Genomic DNA, 21,357 nt, shown 5'->3' with positions numbered 1-21,357 from the left:
GAAACTCAATTCATAAAGAGACAGAAATCAGCAAATGTGTATACTGGTGGGGAGATTGCAGTAAAATGGACCTATCCTTACATGTAATTTTCCTGGGAGATTCAAAATGAAATGGTTTTGTATGAGAAGACAAACTTCTTATGCAATTTGCTACTGTCCTTCCTTGCAGGACAGTTAAAATTTTGTCTCTGGACCTATGAAATTATTCAATGTGGTGATCACAGAGTATTTGAGTACAATTTTTGCTAAGGGATGGGTAGTCCATCCTAGGCGGATAGAAGGCTTGCCGCTCTATTAAGTAGAAGGGAAAAAAGGCTCAACTTCTGTGGTTTATACCATGCTATATTCATATACATGATCATCATGCATTATATATACATTAATACAGCACCAATAATAATACTTAAGAGTTAAAATAACTCAAGTTAATTACTTAAATACTAAGAGTTAAAATAACACTGAAAACAACAAAATTCGTTAAAAATAAAATATTATATACAGGATTCAATATTAAATGATTTTCAATGGAATACAAGCAATAAAAGATTAAATGAATAAGAATGTGTTACAAAATAATTAAAATAAATGGCCTAGTAAATGAAAAGCCTAAAACCAGTTTAAAATATAGAAAATAAATAAAAGCAAAACAATTAAAGGCTCATTAAAGAATAAAACACAGAATGGTTAAAAGTATAAATTCTGAGACTTAACATTCCAATGCAGAAGCAAACAGGGTCCTGAGAGATGTAGAAACCATAAAAGCAAAGATAACTGTCCCCTGAGGTTTGACTTTTTTTGAAGGGGGTCCAGGCAGATATCCTAAATGAAATCCATACATTCTAAAACTCTGGTGCGCACAACAGGGGTTAATTTTCAGGGACAAGGCTGTGAATTTATTCTCAGCAGTTTTGCTTCTCCTTTCCATGGTCTTTTCTTTCTTTTTGTTCACTCACCCAAGGTTTTGTGTGTATTAACTGATCCCTTACATACTACAAAGAAAAAGGGATCATTAATTTGCAAACCTCTTAGTCCTAAAAAGTTCAGTGAAACAATACCTCATAATGGTTAAACTCAAGGATTATAGAGTTGGAGTTAACACTTGTAAAGTTATTTAAACATCCTGTGTGCTATCTTAAGGCATTGTTAAGAAAATCAAGTGTGTTTACTTTGTTAAATTTTGTAATAGCTTATAATCGTTTTGGTGAATAATGGTTTTATAATTCTGTGTTAAGTAAAACATTACTTTTCTTAATTAAATCTGAGCTTAAAGAGAATATGGTGAGCAGACCAATCACACTTCTTTATCAGGTGCATTTCGCATGTGCCAGAACCTAGGAGAAGAGATTGGACAAATGTTTGAGCACTTTTTAAATTGCCTATTGAATTCTCAAAGGAGGTTACATTTTTCCATCTGGACTTTTTTTCTCAATTAGGAAAATTCCCAGAAAGGATAGAGCAGCAAGCTCAGCAGGAAATCCGTGTTCTGAGTTTTTATCTTTCACATAGAGTTGGGGAAAGGCAGGAAGAAACAGGAAATTTAGTCTGCTAGTCCCCCCTAACCAATATCCATTTTTCACAGATGGAAACAAAAGCATACACAAAAAGGGAAATAACAAATTTCTCTTGTGTGCTTTCTCTTGGGCCACAAAATAATTTGTTCCAAGATTTATATTTAATGTTGCAAGACTTAAAGTGATGTCAAGATTACATACAGTGTTATCATAGCTTTCAATTTATTTAGTTTACATAGTTCACATTCTGTGGTTTTTCTTTTAAAATAAAGGCACAGCATAAATGAAGTTTGTTTGCTTTCCTCAAGAGAAAGAGAAAATACAGGCAAAAAGAAGCTTCTTTTGAGGGAAATTCAGAAGGCATTTGTTGCCATGCATGCCTAGCACAGACAGCTAAAGAGAGCTGTAGGTTAAAATTCTTAAATCTTGCCAAAAACGGTCAGCTGCTTTGTGAGAAAAAGCTATTGAAAAGAAAAATCAGTACATTTAGAAAAAGAGTGCTGTTAGTTCCACATGGTTATTACATTGGAAGTTTTTTGGTTATCACATCTTATGCAGATAACCAGGAAAGATATTTTTTACTTTTCATGTACATTGACTTTGGAAACTATATTATAAAAGAGAATAACATCATTATATAAAAGCAAAAGAATACCTGCCCTTTTTATGATGTGATAAAAATGATCAGATTAAATAATGTTTGAAGGACTTTTAATTCGTTTCTACAAATATTATCTTGATAACAAATGGTTATTTTTTCTTTCATTTAGGTAGTTATTATAATTTTTAAAATTAAGCATTTTGGAAAGAATGAACTGTAAAAATGTCTAATATTTTTCTGTTGTATATGTTCTAATTTATTTTTAATTTAAATATTTGAAAACGAGGAAAAGTAGAAAGGAAAATATCCCAAAATTCCAGTAGCAATCATCCACAATTAGTAAATACTAGCATTTTCATTGTAATTGCTCCATGTTATATGTAATAATTTATATTTTATTATATAGTATTTTGTGTAAAATACAGTATTATTTAGTATTTCATATAAGATATATAAAATATTACATGTATAGTTGAAGGCCACATTATTCTTTATAGTCTTTCCCTATTGCATTCCTCTCCCCTCCTTTCTAGAACAAACAACAAAATGTAACTATATGTCCTTTTATTGCATATATAGCTATGTGTATTTCTAAAATTAGGTAAATGATATTGTTCTTAACTTTTACTCTGATTTATTTTTTGTCCTGGTCATGTGTATACTGTATTTTATCTAAATACTGTATTACTGTATTTTATCCAAATAGTCTTCTATCAAATGATTATACCAAAATGTATTTATTCAGTCCACAATGATTAATTTTTAAATTGTTATGTCATTCTTTCACAAATACACATGCACATGTTCATTTACTGCAGCACTATTCATAATAGCAAAGACATCGATCAACCTAAATGCCCATCCACAGAAGACTGGATAAAGAAAATGTGGTTGGTACATATACACCATGGAATACTAGGCAGCCATGAAAAAGAATCAGATCATATCCTTTGCAGTGACATGGATAGAGGTGGAGGCCGTTACCCTTAGCAAACTAACACAGGAACAAAAACCAAATACCACATTTTCTCATTTGTAAGTGGGAGCTAAACATCAAGTACATATGGACACAAAGAAGGGAACAACAGACACTGGAGCCTACTTGAAGGTGGAGGTTGGGAAGGAGGTGGGGAGTGAAAAACTATCAGATACTGTGCTTATTACCTGGGTAACAAAATAATCTATACACTAAACACTCATGACACATAATTTACCTGTATAGCAAACCTGCATATGTACCCCTGAATTTAATGTTCAAAAAAATTAATTGCTTTCAATTTTCAGATTTTATAAAAAATATTACACATATCTTTGTATAAGGTGTAAGGAAAGGGTCCAGTTCAGTTTTCTACATATGGCTAGCCAGTTTTCCCAACACCATTTATTAAATAGGGAATCCTTTCCCCATTGCTGTTTTTTTGTCAGGTTTGTCAAAGATCAGATGGTTGAAGATGTGTGGTGTTATTTCTGAGGCCTCTGTTCTGTTCCATTGGTCTATATATACCTTTTGGTACCAGTACCATGCTGTTTTCGTTACTGTAGCCTTGTAGTATAGTTTGAAGTCAGGTAACGTGATGCCTCCAGCTTTATTCTTTTTGCTTAGGATTCTCTTGGCTTTATGGGCTCTTTTTGGTTCCATATGAAATTTAAAGTAGTTTGTTTTTTCTAATTCTGTAAAGAAAGTCAGTGGTAGCTGGATGGGGATAGCATTGAATCTGTAAATTACTTGGGGCAGTATGGCCAAAGTAATTCTTCCTATCCATGAGCATGGAATGTTTTTCCATTTATTTGTGTCCTCTCTTATTTCCTTGAACAGTGGTTTGTAGATCTCCTTGAAGAGGTCCTTCACATCTCTTGTGAGTTGTATTCCTAGGTCTTTTATTCTCTTTGTAGCAATTGGGAATGGGAGTTCACTCATGATTTGGCTCTCTGTTTGTCTGTTATTAATGTATAGGAATGCTTGTGATTTTTTCACATTGATTTTGTATCCTGAGACTTTGCTCAAGTTGTTTATCAGCTTAAGAAAATTTTGGGCTGAGACAATGGGTTTTTCTAAATATACAATCATGTCATCTGCAAACAGAGACAATTTGCCAGAATCTACAAGGAACATAAACAAATTTGCAAGAAAAAAACAAACAACCCTATTAAAAAGTGGGTGAAGGATATGAACAGACACTTCTAAAAAGAAGACATTTATGTGGCCAACAAACATATGAAAAAAAAAGCTCATTATCACTGGTCATTAGAGAAATGCAAATCAAAACCACAATGAGATACCATCTCATGTTAGAATCGCACTCATTAAACAGTCAGAAACAACAGATGCTGGAGAGGATGTGGAGAAACAGGAATGCTTTTACACTGTTGGTGGGAGTGTAAGTTAGTTCAGCCACTGCAGATGACAGTGTGGCAATTACTCAAGGATCTAGAACCAAAAATACCATTTGACACAGCAACCCCATTACTGAGTATATACCCGAAGGATTATAAATCATTCTACTATAAAGACACATGCACACATATGTTTATTGCAGCACTATTCACAATAGCAAAGACTTGGAACCAACCCAAATGCCCGTCAATGATACAGCCGATAAAGAAAATGTGGCACATATACACCATGGAATACTACACAGCCATAAAAAAGGATGTGTTCATGTCCTTTGCAGGGACATGGATGAAGCTGGAAACCATCATTCTCAGCAAACTAACACAGGAACAGAAAACCAAACACCGCATGTTCTCACTCATAAGAGAGAGTTGAATAATGAGAACACATGGACACAGGGAGAGGAACATCACACACTGGGGCCTGTAGCGGGGTGGAGGACTAGAGGAGGGATAGCATTAAGTGAAATACCTAATGTAGATGATGGGTTGATGGGTGCAGCAAACCACTGTGGCACATGTATACCTAAGTAACCAACCTGCATATTCTGCACATGTATCCTAGAACTTAAAGTATAATAAAAAATGTATATTACATGTATCATTGTTAGTATTTACTGGTGCATAAATGCAGAGTGCAACTTTTTTAAGAATATTAGAGATATAATTTCTGGGTTGTAGATTATATATAATTTTAAAATAACTAGATTTGGCTTTGGGAATTTTTTAATTTAAGAAGGTCAATGGATATTTATTATTATGGCTAGTGAAATATATAAAAGGTAACATAACTACTGAAACAGAGGGGTAGTGTGGTATAGTATTTAGGACTGTATGCTCAGAATCCAACTGTCAAGATTCAAATTTCACTGTTTTCTATTTGCTGTTTGAACTTACACAAGTCATTTAATCATTTCTCTTCATCTGTAAACGGGAAAAATACTATTACCTACCTCACATGTTTGTTGCGAGAATTAAGCTTTTTTTTTTTTTTTTTGAGACGGAGTCTGACTCTGTCACCAGGCTGGAGCACAGTGGTGTATCTCAGCTCACTGCAACTTCCGCCTCCCAGGTTCAAGCAATTCTCCCGCCTCAGCCTCCCAAGTAGCTGGAACTACCAGTGCACGCCACCATGCCCAGCTATTTTTTTTTTATTTTATTTTTAGTAGAGTTGGGGTTTCACCATGTTGGCCAGGATGGTCTCAATCTCTTGACCTTGTGATCTGCCCACCTTGGCCTCACGAAGTGCTGGGATTACAGGCATGAGCCACCGCGCCCTGTGATAATTAAGCAATTTTAAGGCATAAAGGACTTAGAATAATTTCTGGTACCCCGTAAGCCTTCAATAAACATTAACTATTGTTGTCATGCTTATTTGTATTATTGTTTTTATATATGTAACTACATTATCCTTATTATTGATCAAGGGAGGCGAGGTCTAGAAGAACTGTGAAAAATGGAGATAATTCTCCAGATCTTTTAGTTTAGTCAAAGTGTCTTGACTAAAGACACCAGTGTCAATATGTCTTCTAAGCAGCTTCCACATACCACTCTCTGACACTTCTGAGAATGAGCACATACCCTATTGTAGGGCAGCTCATCCAATCTTTGCAAACAACAATTGGTAAGAAAGTTATCCGGATTTTAAGCTAAAATCTGTGTGCCCAATATTATCAACTCACCTAATTCTCTCTGGAGCAAAATAGATTATATTTACACTCTCTTCCACATACTAGTTTTCTAGCAAAAGTAATATAAAATAATGTAATATAGTATGTGAATATATATTCTCCCCACTTTCCAAGCTTTTTCTTCCTAAAGTTAAATATCCCAGCTTGCTTCGTATTTGTTTTGAGGCACATATATTTTTAAGGTGTCTAAATGTGTATCCTTTAAATAACATGCCTTTTGACTCACTCCTCTGAACACACTGTGCTTTGACAAGGCTCTCCTAATGTTTGGTCCACAGATGAAAGCAAGAGATTGCAAAGTGCAGTGGGAATATTACTTTTCTTATGCTGGATGATTTTTATCAATTATTGTGACCTAAGAGTCTGTGATACTTTTATAACGGGTATGTCATTTGTATAGGACTTATTTATCAGAGGTAAGCATATAGGAAACCCTTGTTATGCACCTTTAAAAAGTAAATCAATTTATGTATATCAATTTACCTCTTTATTTACATTTCAGAGATACAGATATAAGGTTCTCACACGAAGAGGTAGAGAAATAAATGAAATAGTATTCGGAAGAAACTACATTAATATAAGTGATATCTAAATAATATCACCATACTATGTAGAAGAATGTCTGATTACTGAAAACTAGAATTTTTTAAATGTAATATCTCACACAGAAAATATTTTTTCAGTCCACAGAAGAAATTTTTTTCTTCTTTGTGAGACATTACATTAAAAATAAGTAGCAATATTTTATTGTGAAAACCTTAATGTAATTTATGACTAATACATCTTTGAAAATTTTTCTGTGAGGGCTAAGTAACCCTCAAACCATGACTAGAGGTTCATAGTCCCACATACTACAACTACTTCTCAATAACCATTCTCATTTTCAACTTAGCAAGAAATATCTTATTAATAATAAATATGACATAGATCAAACAAAAATTACAACAATGCTGGCACTCAACCTTTGCATGTATGTATTTATTTTGATGTCATTGTGAAAATTTAACCAGTTGAGAAGATGGAATTTTCCTACAGATGGACTCAGCTTGCTTGTGAATAGAAAATTCCTGAAAACCATTTTGTTACTACTAGGCTGCTTAACAATAATTTAATCTGCAACATATTTCAAATTGATCCTTGCTTAATTAATTGTTGAAGGCTGCTGCTTACCATAGGTAAATTCAGGAAAGGATTCTCCCCTAAATTACTTCATATGCTGCAAGGAATGTGTAGGAAGAAGATGGGGCACAGGGAGATGGAAGACGTGGGGTCTAGCAGTCCAATTTAGTCCAGTGGTTCAGGGTTACATAATGTCATTATATGCATGCAGTCAAGATAGTGTATTGATCATTTCTGCCTAACTTATGCTTGTTAGCAAATTACTCCCAAATGTACAGAGCTTTTACCAACAAAGGGTTCATTTTCAATCACCTTTGTGGGTCATCTATGTTTGTGCTTCTTTTCCTCTTTATTATGATCATGAAAGAATAGCCCTTATCTCAAACATAACAATCATCTGGCAGAAACAATGGAAAAAAATATAGAACATAAAACTCATAAACTTGTCATGAAGCTCATAAAAATTCTACCCAGCTGTTGTGTACATATATTTCTGCTCATTGTATTTGCCAAAGCCAGTAATGTAGCAAAATCTTATGTTCGAGAGGAGAGAAATATTCTTTTTTCACTGGTTTCCAAAGAGGGAGCAAAAGGGAGGGGAAGCAAATATGTATGTTTGAAAAAATAATATAATCTACCAGAGAAAGGAGTAGGAAAAGAAGCTAAGTATGTCTCTTCTCCTTCACATGTATCTAATTGTCCCTCATTCCCTGTGAGACGGATTTTTTAAAATTCTTAAGAAATATGAAAAATTGAGATACTTAATGGTTGAAACAACTATCTAAAGAGAAATTAATCATGCAGATAATTGCATAATGTACTTAATATTAAGTATCAACTATTGTTAAAATGAACATGATATTAAATTTAGCTAAAAATAAGGTGGCTGGACTATAGTTGGTAGTATTTTGATTTGCCACATGATATGTTTTTCCATTTCTTTTTGTCCTTACCCTTTATCCCTGGCAGATAAAGAGCAAAAAGAACTTCATGTGACTTGCCGAATGACTGTTTCAACCCACAGGAAAGAAGATTTTCTTGAAAGGCAAGGCTCTAAATTGCAAGAACTATGATTTGAAGTGAGAACGTATTTTTAATTTTAAATCTTGTCTGTAATAGACACAACCAAGCTATAAAAGCCCTCTTAGCAGAGGGTAGTCAGGACAGAGAGGAGAAAATGGACCAGGGGCCTTTCCCAGTCACTCCCAAAGGTTCAGGTGCTCTCAGGAGAAGGGAAGGAATGAGAGCAGGACACATCTGAATTGCCTAGATTTTCTCCAAAGTGACCAAATTTTAACTGATAATTTAGCTAGTAATAAATTACCTAGAAAAAGCAAGACTGCACTTTCCACATCAGGAAACACAGGGACTTAAGAGCTAAATACATTTCAGTAATGATTAAATAAATACAGAGGCATGTTTAAAATCATATTTGCATGTGTCTTACCTATTACATAGAGTTTTAATAAATATAATCTGATATAGCCTAGAGGCCATTCTTTTTTACATCTGAAATCTGATAATATCCATTGTTTTCATTTGCTGATCTGTTTTCAGAAATCCATTTTCAGAAAAAGTGAACTAAAAACAGTATATGGCTTAGATTCTACATATAAGGATGAAGACTGGAATGAAGAGTGAAGCTCAAGGACTCACCCTTCACCCAATCCAGTTTAACATCTTTGCAATCACATTTTGTATGAAAAGTAATTGTTTAAAATATGAAATAATTGAATATCTAATATTTACCCACTTTAAAGTAGACAAAAAAGCATGAAATGAATATTTGATGTGATAAAATTTAATTTTTTGGATATTTATCAAAACTTCTGTTTAATCTGAAGTTTTAACATCTTAGTGTTTTCTATCCTGCAACAATGTGTAACCTTCTCACCATGATCAGTTAGAATTACCTGAACTTATTGAAACATCAGATATGTTTTAATACCCAACATTCTTAAAGGATAAAGTTAGGAAATGTCTCCTGATAGATAGAGCAAGTAAAGGAAAAAAGGATTATTTTTTATCTCAGTCAAGAAATATTAAAGCTTATAGTAAGAGCTGAGAACATTATTTGACATGTATGAGTTGGAAAGAAAAAACAACAAAACATGGTGAGAAATGAAAAGATACAAAAGATACAGAAACTTATTAGATACAGAGAGGTTTAAGATACAAAGGCAGATAGGCAAATTGTTGGCGAGAATATTTGTTTTATCCAAATAAATTAGACTTAGAGTTATGCACAATGAAATGGTAAACTAGCAAAAAAAAAAAAAAAAAAGCACAGCAAGGATCTTGCACAAGCCTTTGGGAGGGAGGAGCTGAGTCTACAGGGTCCATAGTTACAGCATCAGGCTGACTTAACAATATCATAACATCAAGTTCTCACATTCTCTTTAGCACAAGAATACTGAAGGTTTTGTAAGTTACATTTTTAAAAATGATGAGAAGTTTTCACTGATGCCAAGCACAGCTTAACTATGAAATTTATAATCTCTGGTGTTAAAAAAAAACATAAAACCACTCAGCTATGGCTCTTTCAGATAGGGTTCTTAACATTTTAAGAAAAACATTTTTAAATGACTTTAGGACAAAAAGGGGTTTATTGCAAGGATGCATGTTCCTGAGTACTTCAGAAAACTTGAGCTAGGCCTGGGCATGTACTGCCACTGTAGAGCTCAGGCATCATGCTCACATCATTTGCTCACTCTTGCTCTTGCTTTCATTCTTTCCCTGGTTCTCTCTTAGAAGTTACCTATTCTCTTTCCTTTATTCTGTTCCTCAATATCCTATCAACTAACTTTCACCACATAACCATCTTGCACACAGACATTGTGGCTATTAGCCCTTCCTCTATCTGGCCTTTTAGTTAAGAGCCTGACATTTACTGTTATCAACCTAAAATAACTAAAAGAGTCAGAAGCGAATTTAAAGAGAGTTTATTCTCTTGTCCACAAAGTTTGAGGACAAGCTGTTCAGGAAGGACAGATTCCAAAGAATGGAAGTCAGAGTTCAGAAGTATAGAAGTTTGGGATCACTTATAGAGACAAAGTTTAGGGGAGCTTAACAAAATTTCAGCATCTTTCTTCATAAGCCTTAATGGCATAGTTACAATTAGCTGATTGGTCCAGGTGGTGCTTTTGTTTTGGGAAAGGTATATTTAACATTCCACACTGAAGATGTAACAGTCATGGGGTCTTGGGTGCCATCTGGTCTGAATTAGGTACCAGACAATAAAGGAGGCAGTTAATCTATAACAAAGATGAGTACTTGGAAGTAGGGGAAGGTCTGATATCTGGTCTCTGCTAGTCATTTTTAGAACAAGAACAATCAGGAAGAGAGCCAATCTACAATCTAAGGGCAGAATTGCAAATATGCTACGTGAGAGTCTCCAGGGCTTAATTTTTTTCCTTGACATACTAAATTTAGATAGTCCTGAAATTTTATTTTATTTCTACACTATGTACTTTTTCTATAGTTCTCATTTTATGCTTTCTGTCAGGCCTCTGAGCCCAAGCCAAGCCATCGCATCCCCTGTGACCTGCACATATACGCCCAGATGGCCTGAAGTAACTGAAGAATCACAAAAGAAGTGAATATGCCCTGCCCCACCTTAACTGATGACATTCCACCACAAAAGAAGTGTAAATGGCCGGTCCTTGCCTTAACTGATGACATTACCTTGTGAAAGTCCTTTTCCTGGCTCATCCTGGCTCAAAAAGCACCCCCACTGAGCACCTTGCAGCCCCCACTCCTGCCCGCCAGAGAACAAACCCCCTTTGACTGTAATTTTCCTTTACCTACCCAAATCCTATAAAACGGCCCCACCCTTATCTCCCTTGGCTGACTCTCTTTTCCAACTCAGCCCACCTGCACCCAGGTGAAATAAACAGTCATGTCGCTAACACAAAGCCTGTTTGGTGGTCTCTTCACATGGACGCGCGTGAAATTTGGTGCCGTGACTCGGATCGGGGGACCTCCCTTGGGAGATCAATCCCCTGTCCTCTTGTTCTTTGCTCCGTGAGAAAGATCCACCTACGACCTCAGGTCCTCAGACCAACCAGCCCAAGAAACATCTCACCAATTTCAAATCCGGTAAGCGGCCTCTTTTTACTCTCTTCTCCAACCTCCCTCACTATCCCTCAACCTCTTTCTCCTTTCAATCTTGGCGCCACACTTCAATCTCCCCCTTCTCTTAATTTCAATTCCTTTCATTTTCTGGTAGAGACAAAGGAGACACGTTTTATCGGTGGACCCAAAACTCTACAGGGCAAGAACCCCCAATCCCTTATTTCTGCACCCCAACCTCTTATCTCTGTGCCCCAATCCCTTATTTCCACGCCCCAATCCCTTATTTCCGTGCCCCAACCTCTTATATCTCTGCGCCCCAATCCCTTATTTCCGCACCCCGACCTCTTATCTCTGCGCCCCAATCCCTTATTTCCGTGCCCCGACCCCTTATTTCCGTGCCCCGACCCCTTATTTCCGTGCCCCGACCCCTTATTTCCATGCCCCGACCCCTTATTTCCTTGCCCCGACCCCTTATTTCTGCACCCCATCCCTTATTTCCGTGCCCCGACCTCTAATCTCTGTGCCCCAACCCCTTTTCCCACTTTTCTGGAAGGTAAGAACCTCCGAACCCCTTCCCTCCTTTTCTCTACTCTCTCTTTTCTCTAGGCTTCCTTCACTATGGGCAACCTTCCACCCTCCATTCCTCCTTCTACTCCTTTGTCCTGTGTTCTCAAAAACTTAAAACCTCTTCAACTCACACCTGACCTAAAACCTAAATGCCTTATTTTCTTCTGCAATGCCGCTTGACCCCAATATAAATTTGACAGTAGTTCCAAATAGCCAGAAAATGGCACTTTGAATTTTTCCATCCTGCAAGATCTAAATAATTCTTGTCGTAGAATAGGCAAATGGTCTGAGGTGCCTGACGTCTAGGCATTCTTTTACACATCAGTCCCTTCCTAGTCTCTGTGCCCAGTGCAACTCGTCCTAAATCTTCCTTCTTTCCCTCCCGCCTCTCCCCTCAGTACCAACCCCAAGCATCGCTGAGTCTTTCTAATCTTCCTTTTCTACAGACCCATCTGACCTTTCCCTTCCTCCCCAGGCTGCTCCTCACCAGGCCGAGCTAGGTCCCAATTCTTCCTCAGCCTCTGCTCCTCCACCCTGTAATCTTTTTATCACCCCCCCTCCTCACACCTGGTCTGGCTTACCGTTTCATTCCCTGACTAGCCCTCCCCCTCCTGCCCAGCAATTTACTCTTAAAAAGGTGGCTGGAGCTAAAGGCATAGTCAAGGTTAATGCTCTTTTTCTTTATCCCAAATCAGATAGCATTTAGGCTCTTTTTCATCAAATATAAAAATCCAGCCCAGTTCATGATTTGTTTGGCAGCAACCATGAGACACTTTACAGCCCTAGACCCTAAAAGGTCAAAAGGCCGTCTTATTCTCAAAATACATTTTATTACCCAATCTGCTCCCGACATTAAATAAAACTCCAAAAATTAAATTCCGGCCCTCAAACCCCACAACAGGATTTAATTAACCTCGCCTTCAAGGTGTACAATAATAGAAAAAAGTTGCAATTCTTTGCCTCCACTGTGAGACAAACCCCAGCCACATCTCCAGCACACAAGAACTTCCAAATGCCTGAACTGCAGCAGCCAGGCATTCCTCCAGAACCTCCTCCCCCAGGAGCTTGCTACAAGTGCCAGAAATCTGGCCACCAGGCCAAGGAATGCCTGCAGCCCAGGATTCCTCCTAAGCCGTGTCCCAACTGTGTGGGACCCCGCTGGAAATCGGACTGTTCAACTCACCTGGCAGCCACTCCCAGAGCCCCTGGAACTCTGGCCCAAGGCTCTCTGACTGACTCCTCGGCTTAGCGGCTGAAGACTGACGCTGCTTGATCACCTCGGAAGCCCCCGTAGACCATCACGGACGCCGAGCTTTAGGTAACTCTCACAGTGGAAAGTAAGTCCATCCCCTTCTTAATCAATACGGAGGCTACCCCCTCCACATTACCTTCTTTTCAAGGGCCTGTTTCCCTTGCCTCCATAACTGTTGTGGGTATTGACGGCCAGGCTTCTAAACCTCTTAAAACTCCCCAACTCTGGAGCCAACTTAGACAATACTCTTTTAAGCACTCTTTTTTAGTTATCCCCACCTGCCCAGTTCCCTTATTAGGCTGAGACACTTTAACTAAATTATCTGCTTCCCTGACTATTCCTGGACTACCGCTATATCTCATTGCCGCCCTTCTTCCCAATCCAAAGCCTCCTTTGCGTCCTCCTCTTGTATCCCCCCACCTTAACCCACAAGTATAAGATACCTCTACTCCCTCCTTGGCGACTGATCATGCACCCCTTACCATCTCATTAAAACCTAATCACCCTTACCCCACTCAATGCCAATATCCCATCCCGCAGCCCGCTTTAAAAAGATTAAAGCCTGTTATCACTCGTCTGCTACAGCATGGCCTTTTAAAGCCTATAAACTCTCCTTACAATTCCCCCATTTTACCTGTCCTAAAACCAGACAAGCCTTACAAGTTAGTTCAGGATCTGCGCCTTATCAATCAAATTGTTTTGCCTATCCACCCCGTGGTGCCAAACCCATATACTCTCCTATCCTCAATACCTCCCTCCACAATCCATTATTCTGTTCTGGATCTCAAACGTGCTTTCTTTACTATTCCTTTGCACCCGTCATCCCAGCCTCTCTTGGCTTTCACTTGGACTGACCCTGACACCCATTAGGCTCAGCAAATTACCTGGGCTGTACTGCCGCAAGGCTTCACAGACAGCCCCCATTACTTCAGTCAAGCCCAAATTTCATCCTCATCTGTTACCTATCTCGGCATAATTCTCGTAAAAACACACGTGCTCTCCCTGCTGATCGTGTCCGACTAATCTCCCAAACCTCAATCCCTTACAAAAGAACAACTCCTTGCCTTCCTAGGCATGGTTAGTACGGTCAGAATTCTTACACAAGAGCCAGGACCGCACCCTGTAGCCTTTCTGTCCAAACAACTTGACCTTACTGTTTTAGCCTAGCCCTCGTGTCTCCGTGCAGTGGCTGCCGCTGCTTTAATACTTTTAGAGGCCCTCAAAATCACAAACTATGCTCATCTCACTCTCTATAGCTCTCATAATTTCCAAAATCTATTTTCTTCCTCACACCTGACACATATACTTTCTGCTCCCCGGCTCCTTCAGCTGTACTCACTCTTTGTTGAGTCTCCCACAATTACCATTGTTCCTGGCCCGGACTTCAATCCGGCCTCCCACATTATTCTGGATACCACACCTGACCGTCATGACTGCATCTCTCTGATCCACCTGATGTTCACCCCATTTCCCTACATTTCCTTCTTCCCTGTTTCTCACACTGATCACACTTGGTTTATTGATGGCAGTTCCACCAGGCCTAATCGCTACTCACCAGCAAAGGCAGGCTATGCTATAGTATCTTCCACATCTATCATTGAGGCTACCGCTCTGCCTCCCTCCACTACCTCTCAGCAAGCCGAACTAGTTGCCTTAACTCAAGCCTTCACTATTGCAAAAGGACTACACATCAATATCTATACTGATTCTAAATATGCCTTTCATATTCTGCACCACCATGCAGTCATATGGGCTGAAAGAAGTTTCCTCACTACACAAGGGTCCTCCATCATTAATGCCTCTTTAATAAAAACTCTGCTCAAGGCTGCTTTACTTCCAAAAGAAGCTGGGGTCATTCACTGCAAGGGGCATCAAAAGGCATCAGATTCCATTGCTCTAGCCAATGCTTATGCTGACAAGGTGGCTAGACAAGCAGCTAGCTCTCCAACTTCTGTCCCTCATGGCCAGTTTTTCTCCTTCACTTCAGTCACTCCCACCTATTCCCCCACTGAAACTTCCACCTATCAATCTCTTCCCACACAAGGCAAATGGTTCTTAGACCAAGGAAAATACCTTCTTCCAGCCTCACAGGCCCATTCTATTCTGTCGTCATTTCATAACCTCTTCCATGTAGGTTACAAGCCGCTAGCCCGACTGTTAGAACCTCTCATTTCCTTTCCATCATGGAAATCTATCCTCAAGGAGATCACTTCTCAGTGTTCCATCTGCTATTCTACTATTATCCCTCAGGGATTGTTCGGGCCTCCTCCCTTTCCTACACATCAAGCTCGGGGATTTGCCCCTGCCGAGGATTGGCAAATTGACTTTACTCACATGCCTCGAGTTAGAAAACTAAAATATCTCTTAGTCTGGGTAGACACTTTCACTGGATGGGTAGAGGCCTTCCCCACAGGGTCTGAGAAGGTCACTGCGGTCATTTCTTCCCTTCTGTCAGACATAATTCCTCGGTTTGGCTTTCCCACCTCTATACAGTCTGATAACGGACCAGCCTTTACTAGCCAAATCACCCAAGCAATTTCTCAGGATCTTGGTATTCAGTGGAACCTTCATATCCCTTACCATCCTCAATCTTCAGGAAAGGTAGAACAGACTAATGGTCTTTTAAAGGCACACCTCACCAATCTCAGCCTCCAACTTAAAAAGGATTGGACAGTACTTTTACCTCTTGCTCTTCTCAGAATCAGAGCCTGTCCTCGAGATGCTACAGGGTACAGTCCATTTGAACTTTTGTATGGACGCACTTTCTTGCTTGGCCCCAACCCCATCACAGACACCAGCCCTCTAGGCGACTATCTTCCAGTCCTCCAGCAGGCTAGACAGGAAATTTGCCAGGCTGCTAATCTTCTCTTGCCTACTCCAGATCCCCAGCCATATGAAGACAACCTAGCTGGACGATCAGTTCTTGTTAAGAATCTGACCCCTCAAACTCTACAACCTCGATGGACCGGACCCTACTTAGTCATCTATAGTACCCCGACTGCCGTCCGCCTGCAGGATCCTCCCCACTGGGTTCACTGTTCCAGAATAAAGCTGTGTCCATCGGACAGCCAGCCTAATCCCTTCCTCTTCCTCCTGGAAGTCGCAAGTACTCTCCCCCACTTCCCTTAAACTCACTCGTATTTCTGAAGAACAGTAATAACCCTTATGAGCCTAATATATCCCTTCATTCTATTCGATCTGTTCGTCCTTACCCTACTTTTTGCAACAGGGCTTTACGAAGTCACCCCCACCACTTAGGCCGAGCCCCAAAAAACTAGTCATCCCTACTATCTTCTGTCAGATCATACTCCTATTCTCCATTCTCAACCACTTATAAATGGCCTACTCTTGTTTACACCGCCGGTTTACACTGCTTCTTCAAGCCATCACAGCTGATATCTCTTGGTGCTATCCCCAAACTGCCACTCTTAACTCCCTCTTAGAGTGGATAGATGATCTTTGCTGGCAAGGCACCCTCCAATACTTCCACCCTGATGAAGTTCTATTCTTTACTTTTATACTCACTCTTATTCTCATTCCCATTCTTATGTCACCCTCTACCTCTCCCCAGCTATCTCCACCACACTGTCAACCTTACCCATCCTCTCCTAGCTGCTTCTAATCCCTCCTTAGCGAACAACTGCTGGCTTTGCATTTCCCTTTCTTCCAGTGCCTACACAGCTGTCTCCGCCTTACAGACAGACTGGGCAGTATCTCCTGTCTCCCTACACCTCCGAACTTCCTTTAACAGCCCTCACCTTTACCCTCCTGAAGAATTCATTTACTTTCTAGACAGGTCCAGCAAGACTTCCCCAGACATTTCACATCAGCAAGCTGCCGCCCTCCTTCGCACTTATTTAAAAAACCTTTCTCCTTATATTAACTCTACTTCCCCCATATTTGGACCTCTCACTACACAAACTACTATTCCAGTTGCCGCTCCTTTATGTATCTCTCGGCAAAGACCCACTGGAATTCCCCTAGGTAATCTTTCACCTTCTCGATGTTCCTTTACTTTTCATCTCTGAAGTCCAACTACACACATCACTGAAACAATTGGAGACTTCCAGCTCCATATTACAGAGAAGCCCTCTATCAATACTGACAAACTTAAAAACATTAGCAGTAATTATTGCTTAGGAAGACACTTGCCCTGTATTTCACTCCATCCTTGGCTACCTTCCCCTTGCTCATCAGACTCTTCTCCCAGGCCCTCTTCTTGTTTACTTATACCCAGCCCCGAAAATAACAGTGAAAGGTTGTTCATAGATACTCAACGTTTTCTCATACACCATGAAAATCGAACCTCCCCCTCTATGCAGTTACCCCATCAGTCCCCATTACAACCTCTGACAGCTGCCGCCCTAGCTGGATTCCTAGGAGTCTGGGTACAAGACACCCCTTTCAGCACTCCTTCTCATCTTTTTACTTTACATCTCCAGTTTTGCCTCACACAAGGTCTCTTCTTCCTCTGTGGATCCTCTACCTACATGTGTCTACCTGCTAATTGGACAGGCACATGTACACTAGTCTTCCTTACCCCCAAAATTCAATTTGCAAATGGGACCGAAGAGCTCCCTGTTCCCCTCATGACACCGACACGACAAAAAAGAGTTATTCCACTAATTCCCTTGATGGTCGGTTTAGGACTTTCTGCCTCCACTATTGCTCTCGGTACTGGAATAGCAGGCATTTCAACCTCTGTCACGACCTTCCGTAGCCTGTCTCATGACTTCTCTGCTAGCATCACACACATATCACAAACTTTATCAGTCCTCCAGGCCCAAGTTGACTCTTTAGCTGCAGTTGTCCTCCAGAACCGCCAAGGCCTTGACTTACTCACTGCTGAAAAAGGAGGACTGCATATTCATAAATGAGGAGTGTTGTTTTTACCTAAATCAATCTGGCCTGGTGTATGACAACATAAAAAAACTCAAGGATAGAGCCCCAAAACTTGCCAACCAAGCAAGTAATTACGCTGAACCCCCTTGGGCACTCTCTAATTGGATGTCCTGGGTCCTCCCAATTCTTAGTCCTTTAATACCCATTTTTCTCCTTCTTTTATTCAGACCTTGTATCTTCCATTTAGTTTCTCAATTCATCCAAAACCGTATCCAGGCCATCACCAATCATTCTATACGACAAATGTTTCTTCTAACATCCCCACAATATCACCCCTTACCACAAGACCTCCCTTCAGCTTAATCTCTCCCACTCTAGGTTCCCACGCCGCCCCTAATCCCGCTTGAAGCAGCCCTGATAAACATCACCCATTCTCTCGCCATATCACCCCCCAAAAATTTTCACTGCCCCAACACTTCAACACTATTTTGTTTTATTTTTCTTATTAATATAAGAAGGCAGGAGTGTCAGGCCTCTGAGCCCAAGCCAAGCCATGCATCCCCTGTGACCTGCACGTATATGCCCAGATGGCCTGAAGTAACTGAAGAATCACAAAAGAAGTGAATATGCCCTGCACCACCTTAATGATGACATTCCACCACAAAAGAAGTGTAAATGGCCGGTCCTTGCCTTAACTGATGACATTACCTTGTGAAACTCCTTTTCCTGGCTCATCCTGGCTCAAAGCACCCCCACTGAGCACCTTGCGGCCCCCACTCCTGCCCGCCAGAGAACAAACCCCCTTTGACTGTAATTTTCCTTTACCTACCCAAATCCTATAAAACAGCCCCACCCTTATCTCCCTTGGCTGACTCTCTTTTCGGACTCAGCCCGCCTGCACCCAGGTGAAATAAACAGCCATGCTGCTCACACAAAGCCTGTTTGGTGGTCTCTTCACACGGATGCGCATGAAACTTTATTTATTTTATTTTATTTTATTTTATTTTATTTTTTTATTGATCATTCTTGGGTGTTTCTCGCAGAGGGGGATTTGGCAGGGTCATAGGACAATAGTGGAGGGAAGGTCAGCAGATAAACAAGTGAACAAAGGTCTCTGGTTTTCCTAGGCAGAGGACCCTGCGGCCTTCCACAGTGTTTGTGTCCCTGGTTACTTGAGATTAGGGAGTGGTGATGACTCTCAACGAGCATGCTGCCTTCAAGCATCTGTTTAACAAAGCACATCTTGCACCGCCCTTAATCCATTTAGCCCTGAGTGGACACAGCACATGTTTCAGAGAGCACGGGGTTGGGGGTAAGGTCACAGATCAACAGGATAAGAATTTTTCTTAGTACAGAACAAAATGAAAAGTCTCCCATGTCTACCTCTTTCTACACAGACACGGCAACCATCCGATTTCTCAATCTTTTCCCCACCTTTCCCCGCTTTCTATTCCACAAAACCGCCATTGTCATCATGGCCCGTTCTCAATGAGCTGTTGGGTACACCTCCCAGACGGGGTGGTGGCCGGGCAGAGGGGCTCCTCACTTCCCAGTAGGGGCGGCCGGGCAGAGGCGCCCCTCACCTCCCGGACGGGGCGGCTGGCCGGGCAGGGGGCTGACCCCCCCACCTCACTCCCGGATGGGGCGGCTGGCCGGGCAGAGGGGCTCCTCACTTCCCAGTAGGGGCGGCCGGGCAGAGGCACCCCTCACCTCCCGGACGGGGTGGCTGGCCCGGCGGGGGGCTGATCCCCCCACCTCCCTCCCAGACGGGGCGGCTTGCCAGGCAGGGGGCTGACCCCCCCACCTCCCTCCCGGACCGGGCGGCTGGCCGGGCAGAGGGGCTCCTCACTTCCCAGTAGGGGCGGCCGGGCAGAGGCACCCCTCACCTCCCGGACGGGGCGGCTGGCCGGGCGGGGGGCTGACCCCCCCACCTCCCTCCCGGACTGGGCGGCTGGCCGGGCGGGGGGCTGATCCCCCCACCTCCCTCCCGGACGGGGTGGCTGCTGGGCGGAGACGCTCCTCACTTCCCAGACGGGGCGGCTGGCCGGGCAGAGGGGCTCCTCACTTCCCAGTAGGGGCCGCCGGGCAGAGGCGCCCCTCACCTCCCGGACGGGGCGGCTGGCCGGGCGGGGGGCTGACCCCCCACCTCCCTCCCAGACGGGGTGGCTGCTGGGCAGAGACGCTCCTCACTTCCCAGACAGGGTGGCTGCTGGGCAGAGGGGCTCCTCACTTCTCAGATGGGGCGGCTGCCGGGCGGAGGGTCTCCTCACTTCCCAGACGGGGCCGCCGGGCAGAGACGCTCCTCACCTCCCAGACGGGGTCGCGGCGGGGTAGAGGCGCTCCTCACATCCCAGACGGGGCGGCGGGGCAGAGGCGCTCCCCACATCTCAGACGATGGGCGGCTGGGCAGAGAGGCTCCTCACTTCCTAGATGGGATGGCGGCCGGGAAGAGGCGCTCCTCACTTCCTAGATGGGATGGCGGCCAGGCAGAGACACTCCTCACTTTCCAGACTGGGCAGCCAGGCAGAGGGGCTCCTCACATCCCAGACAATGGGCGGCCAGGCAGAGACGCTCCTCACTTCCCAGGCGGGGTGGCGGCCGGGCAGAGGCTGCAATCTCTGCACTTTGGGAGGCCAAGGGAGGCGGCTGGGAGGTGGAGGTTGTAGCGAGCTGAGATCACGCCACTGCACTCCAGTCTGGGCGCCATTGAGCACTGAGTGAACCAGACTCCGTCTGCAATCCCGGCACCTCAGGAGGCCGAGGCTGGTGGATCACTCGCGGTTAGGAGCTGGAGACCAGCCCGGCCAACACAGCGAATCCCCGTCTCCACCAAAAAAATACGAAAACCAGTCAGGCGTGGCGGCGCGCCTGCAATTGCAGGCACTCAGCAGGCTGAGGCAGGAGAATCAGGCAGGGAGGTTGCAGTGAGCTGAGATGGCAGCAGTACAGTCTAGCTTCTGCTCGGCATCAGAGGGAGACTGTGGAAAGAGAGGGAGAGGGAGACCGTGAGAGGGAGAGGGAGAGGGAGACGGAGAGGGAGAGGGAGAGGGAGAGGGAGAGGGAGGAGAGGCGAAACTTTCAAGAAAGAAAATCTGATTGGCTGAGCTTGCCTCTACCTGAGCTACAGATTCCTCAAAAGTTTAATCAAGGTCCATGGTGGTACCAAGAAAAAAGGACTTTCCTCTACAATCTGAGTGAGATGATAGCTTTGATTGTGGTTGAGGGGCAGGGCATGAGGTAATAGGAGATAAGTTATTAACATGATATGAAATCCAGAACATGAGTGAGAAGGCAGCATGGAGGAGGATT

General features: G+C 42.2%; 4 annotated features.

The window, feature by feature from the left end:
* Positions 10,204-10,781: an enhancer, noted in NCBI's record as "OCT4-NANOG-H3K27ac hESC enhancer chr2:188430907-188431484 (GRCh37/hg19 assembly coordinates)". NCBI's record gives its function as "activates a minimal SCP1, AML or CMV promoter by ChIP-STARR-seq in primed H9 embryonic stem cells {active_cell/tissue: H9 hESC(primed)}" and the evidence as "EXISTENCE:reporter gene assay evidence [ECO:0000049][PMID:30033119]".
* Positions 10,782-11,360: an enhancer, noted in NCBI's record as "OCT4-NANOG-H3K27ac hESC enhancer chr2:188430328-188430906 (GRCh37/hg19 assembly coordinates)". NCBI's record gives its function as "activates a minimal SCP1, AML or CMV promoter by ChIP-STARR-seq in naive and primed H9 embryonic stem cells {active_cell/tissue: H9 hESC(naive and primed)}" and the evidence as "EXISTENCE:reporter gene assay evidence [ECO:0000049][PMID:30033119]".
* Positions 18,317-18,899: an enhancer, noted in NCBI's record as "NANOG hESC enhancer chr2:188422789-188423371 (GRCh37/hg19 assembly coordinates)". NCBI's record gives its function as "activates a minimal SCP1, AML or CMV promoter by ChIP-STARR-seq in primed H9 embryonic stem cells {active_cell/tissue: H9 hESC(primed)}" and the evidence as "EXISTENCE:reporter gene assay evidence [ECO:0000049][PMID:30033119]".
* Positions 18,900-19,484: an enhancer, noted in NCBI's record as "NANOG hESC enhancer chr2:188422204-188422788 (GRCh37/hg19 assembly coordinates)". NCBI's record gives its function as "activates a minimal SCP1, AML or CMV promoter by ChIP-STARR-seq in primed H9 embryonic stem cells {active_cell/tissue: H9 hESC(primed)}" and the evidence as "EXISTENCE:reporter gene assay evidence [ECO:0000049][PMID:30033119]".

The sequence above is a fragment of the Homo sapiens genome, chromosome 2 (genome assembly GCF_000001405.40).
Source record: "Homo sapiens chromosome 2, GRCh38.p14 Primary Assembly".
NCBI classification, from domain to species: Eukaryota; Metazoa; Chordata; class Mammalia; order Primates; family Hominidae; genus Homo; species Homo sapiens.
This window is presented reverse-complemented; position numbering and strand designations above follow the sequence as displayed.